Source organism: Homo sapiens, chromosome 2 (assembly GCF_000001405.40).
Source record: "Homo sapiens chromosome 2, GRCh38.p14 Primary Assembly".
In the NCBI taxonomy this organism is placed as follows: domain Eukaryota; kingdom Metazoa; phylum Chordata; class Mammalia; order Primates; family Hominidae; genus Homo; species Homo sapiens.
Window position 1 is genome coordinate 1,236,027 of NC_000002.12, and position 11,417 is coordinate 1,247,443.

Below are 11,417 nucleotides of genomic sequence, written 5' to 3' on the forward strand. Positions count from 1 at the left end.
GAACTTGGCTGTCGTCCGCAATAATCTACTTGACCCAGCTGTTTATTAACCACTAGATTAAGGTCAGCCTTGCTTTGTATATGTCGCACCAGTTAACATGAACAAATGAGAAATGATGGCAATGAACCCATTTTTAGTTAGCACTTACTTTAATAAGAATTAATGGATACTTGGACAAAAGTGTAGATATAAGTCTGTCAATATTTAATAAGCACCTAATTCATGTGGAATATTACACAATCTGCCTAAAATAGTCTCCCAGCATTTTGAAGTGTAAAAATTAATTTATTATAGCAGACATCCAGGACCAAAGGCCCCACGGGAAGCGATGGATCCTGAGGGACAGGTGCTCCCCAGGAGGACCAGGAAAGGTGATCAGAAAGGGCTGTGCGAAGGTGGAGGCAGAGCTGCCTGCCCTCCCCATGCAGGGGACCTGCTTCCTCTGGCTTCTTCCCCTCTCCGGCTCCACACAGTCACCTCCACCTTCACCTCTGTCCTCCTGCCAAGTCAAGAGTACCTTGTTCATCGCCATCAGGCAGAATATCAGCCACAAGTAGATAAACCTCACATTCTGATTCAAGAAACACTAATTAGAATGAGAATGACCCCTAGACAGGGATGTCAGCTTTTTAAAAGAATGACTTTTAAAATAGCAAACTCTGGTCTGATAGATTTGGCTCAAAAATATGCAGAACTGTGTTATACCATCTCTGTTTCCTACCCCTTCTCCTACACACCCCACCTTGCCTAAGAAAGCAGCGATGACACTCACATTTGAAAGATTATTAGAACATAGCTTAGTGATGACTTATTTTTTTAAAAAAATATGTTTGCTTTGTTCTGTATTTTATCTTCAGTTAGCTGCTTGAGACCATGGAGGTATTATGAGTCATATACATTAATATGCATTGTTTTCTTTTTTTCTTTTTTTTTTCAGATAGGGTCTCACTCTGTTGCCCAGGCTGGAGTGCAGTGGTGTGATCTCGGCTCACTGCAACCTCTGCCTCCTGGGTTCAGGAGATTCTCCTGCCGTAGCCTTCCGAGTAGCTGGAGCTACAGGTGTGTGCCACCATGCCCGGCTAATTTTTGTATTTTTCGTAGAGATGGGACTTCACCATGTTGGCCAGGCTGATTTCGAACTCCTGACCTCAAGTGATCCACCTACCTCAGTCTTCCAACGTCCTGTGATTATAGGCGTGAGCCACTGCGCCCGGCCAATATGCACTATTTTCTTAAGAAAAAGTCTATAAAAGTGTACATGACATTTCTCTTTTGCAAATAGGCATATGTAAAGTATGTTTTTAAAAAATATTGCATGACAGGGAAGAACTACTGAATTTGAGACGGTTGGTTGTTAATACTTTGCCATGATTGAGTTCTCAGCAAGTGGAGTGTCATGGAGCAGTGGAAGGGGACTATGTTCTCCCAAAGCTCCCCTGTCAATCAGAAGCACACAGGTGGTCCTAGAGAAGGGTGGATGCTGAGTGCAGAGGGTGCTGGGCTGCTCCAGCCTCACCCCATCAGGAGCTTTAAGTGCTCCATCCAAAGGGTCTTCGAAAGAATAACCAGTAAGAATCCTGCAGACAATAACTCCAGAATTTCAGGAGCACTGTTCTTTCCTTGACAAAGTGCTTTTCATGTTTCATCGAATTAGAAGTAGCTCCTGTTACCAAGGGAATTCGGGGTTTGGTCTTGGTCTCAGCGAGCCTGCTGACTGTACTGAGGCGCCTGAGGAAGTGGTGCAGTTGCCCCATGTCCTGGGTCCAGGGTAGAGCCCTGCTGAGCATCAGCCTCGAAACTCACGGAGGCAGGCCCGCTCCCGTCGCTGCGGGGCCTCCTGGACAGCTCTCTCCCTCCCCAGGTGGAATGCGTTCGAGGTGCTCGCCCTGGACGGAGTCAGCTCTGGGATCCTCCGGTTTTACACAGCCCAGGATGGCACCGACTGGCTGCGGGCGGTCTCAGCCAACATCAGGGAGCTGACACTTCAGAACGTGAGCACACGGTGTTTCTGAGTCTCTGCTGATGCTCATTCGTGCATGAAAAATAATGGAGACATCATGTTTCTGATGATTTATGATTAACCCGAAACAGAAAATCATGTACTTGTTTCAATGTGTCAAATCTATGTCTAAAAACATTAAAAATGAAGCCATCAGAATGTTTCCAAATCAAAGAGTAAGGCAATGTCTAACAGCTGAGAATTTCCCATCTGGTTTTGTCTTCCTCCTCCCCTCTGTCTGCCTCTGTCTCTCTCCCTCCCTTCCTCTCTCTTTCTCTCCACACACATATACAGAAATAGTTATATGTCATAATTTTATATTTTACCCAAATGCATTGATACAGTGTGACATTTTGAGTTGGGGAAACCTAATTGAGTTAAAAGTATAATTCTCCCAAACATTATGAAGATTTAGAAAAAGGCATAATTGAGCAAAAACATTACTTCTCAAATTTGTACTGCAGTCCCCCAGAAACGAAAAAGTATTCTGTCCCCTTAAGTGATGTTTGATATTAAAAGTCAACAGGATTTTAAAAATTAAAGAAATGAAAAGAGATGGGGTGGGAACGAAGACTTGATGACACGGGCGTTGCCTGGAGTGATGGGTGCCTGGACTCGGACATGGAGCCGTGGCCGCAGCCCTGGCAACTGTGGCAGGACTGGCCGTGCCTGGAGGCGGCCCTGGACCAGCCTTGCTGCCCTTGCTCCCTCTAAGCTGAGTTGCCCTGTAATTGCACTTCGATCCCTGCTCTGTTCCTTCGCAGCCTGGAGGCTGCAGAGGCTGGGTCCAGCTTGCAGACTGGCCAGGCGTGGCCCACCCTGCGGCCCTGCAGATGCACCCGCCCTGCCCCTGCCCTGCCCACCACCTCACGTCTCCCTTGCAACCTCCCTTCTTCCTGTGGCTGCAAAACAGAAGTTAACCTAACACTGGGGGAAGCAGCAATGTGTGACATTTCTCCTGTGAAGACCTCAGGGGCTTCCTTTCTGCAAGCAGAGAAGGAAGTACCAGGACCTTCCTAACATTGTAGTTTTCAAACGCAACACTTTAAATTCCAAAGTTATCTCAATAAATAGGGAAGAAAGGATGGTGCTTGACTTATATTTGCAGAAATGTTTGTGACGAGGAGCGCCCTTCAGTTCTGTCATTTCACAAATCAGCCCTCATAGGCAGGGCAGAGAAGTCAGACACCCCAATATTTCAGAACAGAAATGTGGACTCTGAGCTGCCTCCCGGCTGTGTGGCTGTGGGCTGTGGGAACATTATGATTCTGCACCTCCACTTCCTCGGTGAAATTTTGGAAAACAACATCTACCTCCATAGGTCATTGGGAGAACTAAATAAAAGAAAGAATATCAACTGTGATCACCGTAATTACCATCACAGTAATACTGACTCTCACAAGGTTATGTAGAGCAGAAATCATTTCCTCACTTTTCTCAGATATTGGAATTTAAGCACCTGCTCTTGAAGTGTAACTTCACTTACATAAATGCTGATATTTGAAAAAGAGGAATTGAAGCCTGCTAGTAAAGTTGTTTTCTACTGCTGCCATGTTTGTATTGACTCTGGCTAGGTCTTCAGATAGGAAATATGTCATTAAAGAGGCCTGTTTCCCAGGACAGAGCGTGGCTGATGACTTCCAGCTGTCACTCAGGTGAGCCATCCTGGTGTTGGTGGCTGTGGCCCTGACTCTTCTGCCTTCTCTCCACAGATGAAGATGGCGAACAAATGCTGCTCTCCTTCCGACCAGGTAGGGTTTGTATTTTCTGCTTCATGATGTAACACATCAGGTAGGGTTTGTATTTTCTGATTCATGATGTAACACATCTCGAAAAGCAGTCTCTGGTTTTTTGAAATTTGATTTGAAAATGTTGATAGGAAAACATTAGCACATTTCAGACTGCATTTGGTGGTCTCTGCCCTGCCTGTTAATTCTATAAAACTGCTCTTTCTGTGGGAATAGCATAGGTCATTCTGATCTCCTGTGTATAGATTATTTCTCTATTGGCAGTTATGTTTTGTAAAGAATCGTGATTTAAATGATGATTTAGATATGATTGTTTAAACTGAGAAGGGCTTTGAGATGACACACCTGTGTAATTTGAAATTTTAAGCATTATATTATTTTCTTAAATAAAATCCTTACTAGGAAAGCTTCATTCTCAGGAGGGCTTTGGCCCAGTGGGTGTTATTGCCAGTGGGTAGGATCCTGTCATCCCCAAATCCAGGCAGTTTGTTCACCTGGAGCCCAGAGCCCTTAACGTTGTCCTGGATTCAGGATAGCTACCTTTGTAGCCACCCTCAGGCCTGATTTTCTGCTCACTTCCCACGTCTATGAGTACTTAGGAAAACTCTATGGTAATCAAGCTGTTTCAATATCAGCCAAATCAGTTTTTAAGCCACTGTGTTATTCTTCTGTTTCCTTTATAATAAACTTATGATTTAACTTGTAATGTAAGGGAGTATGTTATTTATAGTTCATTCATTTTCTGGTTACATCTCTTAGGGGCGTAAGGAAGCATGCATCATAGCCTCAAGTTAAGAAAACTGAGAAAAACATGTTCGCTTTGCTTTAAATAGCGCACAAAAGACTTTAAATAGTGCTTAGCAAGAATATTTGAATTCACGATGGAGGACTTGAGAAGAGCAGGTCCTCTGCCTATGAAATATTTACTAAAACAATGGGAAAATAGGGCTGTGTTTTAAATTAAACCTCTCTAGTCAACATTTCTACATTAGAAAAGAAACACTAAGAATAAATGGTTCTTCTAACTTTTATCTCTTTTAATATTATTCTAAAATTACCATCAACTATTTTTGTTTACATAGATATTTTATGATTAATATTTCTATAAATTCTTCAAATTAATATAGGATTCATTTCATATTCTTATACATAAAATATCATTTCCCTACTATGTGTTTTTGAAACAGAAGTTCTGAAACTTTTCCACAAAGTACATATCTCTCTATGGTTCACACAGGAAACAGCCTTTATCAAGGCTGGTGGGACAGTGGGCCAAAGTTTTGACATGATCTCTATGAATAATTTACCATTTTGAAATTGCATCTTATTCACACACGCAAAATTAGCAAAATGTTTCCTGAGATCCTCTTTATGGCAAAGCTGAGACTCTTCCGAGATCTTAGGAGGAGCCGCAGCTTCTGGTATTTCTCAGTGTTGGCTGCTTCTTCCCTGTTTCTCAGTTTGTTCGTCATGAGGACAGCCGTCCTCTCCCGACCCTCAGAGGGGTTGTCACCTTGCAGACAGATCCTTGATGCTAAACAGTGATGTCCGCAAGTGGAGAGCATACGTGGGAATGGGCAGCATTTATGGACTTGGCCTTTACGTGTTTCAGAGAAATGCTGACTTTTGTAGCTATACTGGAATTACTCCTCATGTTGGAAAGAGCACTGCTCCGGAGAGGAAAGCATTTTCTTTTTTTTTTATTATTATTATTATACTTTAAGTTTCAGGGTACATGTGCACAACGTGCAGGTTAGTTACATATGTATACATGTACCATGTGGTGCGCTGCACCCAGTAACTCATCATTTAACATTAAGTATATCTCCAAATGCTATCCTTCACCCTCTCCCCACCCCTTAATCCTCCTTATCATCAACTGACAAGAGAGAATGATGAAATAATGGTTCAGAGAAATGTAAAAACCTGTAGGGAGCACAGTTTCCGCTATGGAGCACATTGAAGGAGCATCTTCCAGAGACCTCAGAGGCAGTGGGCGGCCTTGTTTTTGCTTCATCTCAGTGAAATTCTCCCACATATTAAGCCTTGTGTATTTCACATCGATCTTGGTGGCCTTGTTTGACAAAGCAAAAAGCCAAAGGCAAACCCTGGACCTGATAACCCTGACCAAACCCTTCTCTGGTGTTGTAATTTTAACAAATTCACTCCTGAGGCTTAATTTCTTTATCTGTAATATAAGAAAGTTGTACTGGGTAATTTAAGGTCCTTTTTACAACCTTAAAAGTCCTATACAACTTTGAATTTACTTAGCAGCTTGGAGTAGTTTATTTGGAAATTGATCTTAGAGCTGAGCTTCATTATGTAGGATGATGAAGAACTAGCCCTGCTATATCCGGATGCGCTTTTGGTGGAGGATGGTTTCACGTTTTCTCCAAAAGTGGTGTGCTTTGTACAAATGTTAGGAGTTTAAATTTAAGACATTAGGCCCTTTAAAACAGAAAGAAAATTTTTTTTCACTCTGAACAATTCATTCTTGATTTTGGTATTTAACAAATAATTGTGAGATAATTGTTAATGTGAAAAATGCGAATTTTATGTCAAAAAAATTTATGTGAAAGGATAAATAAAGGTGTTTAACAACCACTGAAATTGGCAAACAAAAACACACAAAAAACAGAATTAGGAGAATACTACAAAAAGCATAATGTATGCATTTTTAGACTCTCATATCTGGTATATAAAATAACCAAATAATTTATCATACAAACCAGAGCACTTTTGTCTGGGACAAAGACTAACCTGAAAACATTACCAAGATAACTGCAAACAAACATATGCTCACCCCACCAAATAGCAAGCAGCCCTATTTCTTTCCAAATTAAACTTATTTTTGAATAACCTGAATTTTAATTTAGGTAGCTATTGATGATGCCTTAATTGCCAAATCTCCCTGACCCCCTGCAGAAAACCCTAAATAACACAGGTAATTCTGGCTTTTTCTAGCTAAAGGAAAAGACCAGCTGCATGTTATCATCTGGTGGACGCTTAACTAATTATCTTGACTGATGGGGTGAAAAGAAGAGGACTCTCTTATAGAAATGGTATCAGAAAAGATAAAAAATATATTTCTTTATTATAATGGTTATGACATCCTTATTAAGGTGGTACAGTCAGGGAGATGTTTCTAAAAGTATAATACACACTTCTTGGAATGTGTAATTAGAAAATTCATAATGTAGAAGATAAAATTAGCTTTGCTTAAAATTATTTATGAACTGCATATACCTAAGAAAGATTCAGAAAGCATCCGATGTTTCCAACAATAGCAAAGCTATAACGTATTTCTTTGCTAAATCTAGCATAATTCAATTACTTGTGTGATTTAATTAAGCTCATGCAACTAACAGGCATTTCAGATTACTGGCGGTCTATTATTGCCATCTTGGGCCAACAGTAGCTCTTTATTCACTCCTTAATACATAACTCTCCTTGAACTTTGTGCCAAACACTGTGTCAACCCGATATAGAAAAGAAGAAGAGCCCAACACTGTCCCAGCCCAGGGGGAAGAAAGAGCAAGCAGCCCTGGGGAAGGGAGGTGGGTGTACAGCTCATGGGGCCTCCCAGGTCTGGGTGCTCGGATTCCAGCTGGTACCTGCAGCTCCTCAGAAACAGAGTAACTCTGCTCAATCAGAATTAGATGGTAATTCCACCCTTGATCAAGTTCTCCTCCAAAAAGAAGGCTTGCTGCTGCCATGCTGGAAAAAGAATCCCAAGTTCTCTATTTTAGCCAAGATTCAAGAATGCATACTTTCAACTTTCTACTCGCCCTTGATCTACCTGTAATGTAAATCAATCTCTCACCCATCTGTCCTCTGTATTTAGATATTCCTGAGTGTTACGGCCGTTAGATTAAGTTCCTGCACATCAGTTTCCTATTCATAGTTCATCCCTTGTGAAATCTAAATTGCAGCGCATGATTAAGTGTTTCGTGAACAGAACGAGTAAGATCAAGGAAACTCGACAGTATGTGAACACGTGATTTAAAAAATGAGGGAGCCGAGGTGGGCAGATCAGGAGGCCAGGAGTTGAAGACCGGACTGGCCAACATGGTGAAACCCCGTCTCTACTAAAAATACAAAAATTAGCCGGGCGTGGTGGCACGCGCCTGTAATCCCAGCTACCTGGGAGGCTGAGGCAGGAGAATCGCTTCAACCCTGGAGGCGGAGGTTGCAGTGAGCCAAGAGCGTGCCACTGCACTCCAGCCCGGGCGACAGAGCAAGACTCTGGCCTGGGGCCAGGGTGGTGGTGGGGGTGGCTGGGGAAGTGGAGGAAGTAAAACCAGCAGAGTTTGCCCTGCAGGCAAAAGAAAAACATCACTTTAAATCTCTCTACCCCGTATGAATCTAATTAGGCTGTGACCCTTAGAATTTCTCATCAGAACTAGTATTTGTTTCGTGAATTTTAAAGACTCTCAGACCACGTTGGCAGGGACCTGCAGAAGGGGATGTGTTCGCCATTCGCTCGTTTTTTGTTTCGTTCTTTTTTCTGGATGTGATTATTCTCTACTCCTCCCTCTTACTAACTTTGTGATTTGACGAGGATATTGGTGTGACTCCTCGTAATAAATATGGGGTCAAACCAGACTTTTTGTGCTTGTTGCTGATTCTTAAAAGTTTGCAGGCCGGGCGCGGGGGCTCACGCCTGTAATCCCAGCACTTTGGGAGGCCGAGGCTGGCGGATCACGAGGGCAGGAGATTGAGACCATCCTGGCTAACACGGTGAAACCCTGTCTCTACTAAAAATACAAAAAATTAGCAGGGCGTGGTGGCGGGCGCCTCTGGTCCCAGCTACTCGGGAGGCTGAGGCAGGAGAATGGCGTGAACCTGGGAGGCAGAGCTTGCAGTGAGCCAAGATTGCACCACTGCACTCCAGCCTGGGTGACAGAGCGAGACTCCATCTCAAAAAAAAAAAAAAAAAAAAACAGTTTGCAATAATTTAGAACTCAGGCAATTTCCTACATTTTCTAGAAATTCTGGTTCCACACTTTGATGCTAATCAGTAAAAGAAAGGTCTTCCACTCAGCCATCCTGACAAATACAATAAGCTTGTTTTTGCCTGCTGCAGTTATCCAGCAGCCAGCTGCTCCGAAGATTTAGATTTGAAGATATGGTCATCATTGTTTGTGAAACCTCGCCTAATAAGGCCATAAAAAATGATGAGTTCATGTCCTTTGTAGGGACATGGATGAAACTGGAAATCAACATTCTCAGTAAACTATCGCAAGGACAAAAAACCAAACACCGCATGTTCTCACTCATAGATGGGAATTGAACAATGAGAACACATGGACACAGGAAGGGGAACATCACACTCTGGGGACTGTTGTCGGGTGGGGGGAGGGGGGAGGGATAGCATTGGGAGATATACCTAATGCTAGATGACACGTTAGTGGGTGCAGCACACCAACATGGCACATGTATACATATGTAACCTGCACATTGTGCACATGTACCCTAAAACTTAAAGTATAATAATAAAAAAAAAGGAAAAAAAAAAGAAATAAGTCCTCCTCAAGAGCTTTAGCAAGGCACTCAAATGTGCGTAAGATGACCTGGGCAGCCTGCTCAGGGCCATGTGCCTGGTCTTCCTGGAATGTGAACTCTTTTCTTGCTGAACAAACTGCCTGCATAATATTCTTTTCATGACTGTGTGGAAGCCACTGTGTTTGCAATTGTTTTTAGTAACTATGCTTCAAATGAATCCTATCTTAAACTGTACAAATCACTGCACTTGTGCAGTAGTGAGCTGGAATTAATCACGCATTGAATTCATGTTAATTATGGAAACATCAAGCATCTGCTAAATTTGCTAGAAAAAGATGCATTTTTAAATGGAGGCTTTTATGATTTACAGAGTATAAATGCTAGTGTTATAACCAACAAAAATATAAGTATGTGACCCAACCAGACAAAAAAGGAAAAAATCTATTAGGTATTTTAAAATAATCTGTGTATTTGGTTTCAAATTCAGACACTGGAGGAGTAAATTACACATCAGTGGCTTTTCCAGGTATGAATGTCCCTGGCATTTGCCCCCAGCTAGTGCCTTATGAGGGATTCCTATGGGACACTGTGAAATTCCCGTAATTCTCACGTGAGATCTAGAATTCTACCCGTTTCATGATGGAAAAAGAGAGCCTTGGCAATGTTAAATGTGCTTTGCTGGGGAGGGTCTCGGGGAAATAAAGTCGTCCTGTGTTACTGCAACATTAACCCCATACCACATCTATGTGGTTCCTGAGCCTCCATGGGACGTAAGTATAACCCACTAGGAACTTGGAAGTTCATGATCCAGTGAAATATTTGGGTTACTTTGAAAAGCCTTCTAAATCCAGAACAGTCAAGAAAGACAAAACTAAAACGTTTAATGCATCAGGGGATTCGTATTCAACACTGAAAACCATGATGATAGCTGTTCGGCTACGCGTCCCCGCCCTACAAGACAGTGCTCCTAATTTTCTTTCCCATTGCTAGAAATACCGTTTGTAGAAATCTGATTCTGTCCTCTAGCATCTCGACTTCCCAGGAAGTCTCTCCAGCTTAAGAGTGAAGACCTTCAGTGGTTTATCAAGTAAATATCAGAAACAGGATGCGCCCATCCTGGAGCTGGCGCCGGCTGTGACGGGACTTACCTGGGCGGCTCCAGCAGAGGGCACTTCGTGGGTGCATGGGGCTTGCACACTTGAGGGGTGTCCAGGTCCCAGCTGGTTCTCAACTTTTAATAGCTCATCGGTCAGTGTCATTTGGTAAAGTGGTTGGGATCTCTGTGATAACTTATTTTTATTTTTTTAAGTTTTTAATGCTAAGCATATGTTAATAGGTTTTCCTTGAAATAGAATGAGAAAATGAAAGAATTATAATGAAATTACTCCTGGTACTTGCTACAAAATATGTCACATTAAAATTTTAGATAACATGGATTTTTCTTTAATATTAGATTGAATTCACTGAATTCTTAAATTGGATTATTATTTAAATGTTTTTGAATCATATTCTGATTTTGATAGGTTGGATTTTATATCATACGGCTCAAAATATTCACTGCTCATTGTAAGAATCTAATATTTTACATTATTTCATTGTTGTTAAGAAGTTGAACCATAAAGAGAAACAATTATTTTTCCACATATGCCAACTTCTATGTTCACTATAGGAATGAAAAATATAATTAGCTGTTTTTACTACCTCATAGAAAAATCTGAAATACTACCTTCTAATAGAATATAATTCAATACAGTCGTTTTAAAAGATAAACCAACAACTCTAAGGCAGCTGAGAAGTCCATTGGCCAAAACTGAAAGTGCTCATATATAAAACCTGGTTCAATGCAAAACTGAATTTTTAATTCAAGATGTGATTCATTCCTATTGTGTGAACTTGATTTGGAAACTTGGACATCTCCACGTTTCTCCCGTCTCCTGATTCTGGGTGTGTTGACCTGATGGGATCATGGCTTGCTCATGTGCTTAACTCTGCTGCTGTGACAGTATGCCCTCATTAAGGCTTGGTTTGTAATTTTCACCCCTCTGCAGGTTGTGCATATGGGGTGGGTAAATGAGAAACTCCAAGGAGCTGACTCCTCTCAAACCTTCAGACCCAAGTTCCTAGCACTGAAGGGCCCGTCCTTCTACGTTTTCAGCACTCCTCCG

General features: G+C 41.8%; 1 protein-coding gene across 16 annotated transcripts in view; it reads left to right on the forward strand.

The window, feature by feature from the left end:
* The window catches only part of SNTG2 (syntrophin gamma 2), a 416,765-nt gene that overhangs the window by 285,178 nt on the left and 120,170 nt on the right, over positions 1–11,417 (forward strand). For 12 of the 16 annotated variants that reach the window (NM_018968.4, XM_047444795.1, XM_017004362.1 and 9 more), the window contains 3 exons: positions 1,862–1,991; positions 3,712–3,750; positions 11,301–11,417. In NM_018968.4, the coding sequence (NP_061841.2) occupies positions 1,862–1,991; positions 3,712–3,750; positions 11,301–11,417 (286 nt within the window). Of the gene's footprint in view, positions 1–1,861; positions 1,992–3,711; positions 3,751–6,711; positions 7,780–11,300 lie in introns of those variants that run through there. The other 4 variants (XM_017004374.1, XM_017004372.1, XM_047444798.1 and 1 more) reach the window with 2 other exon arrangements.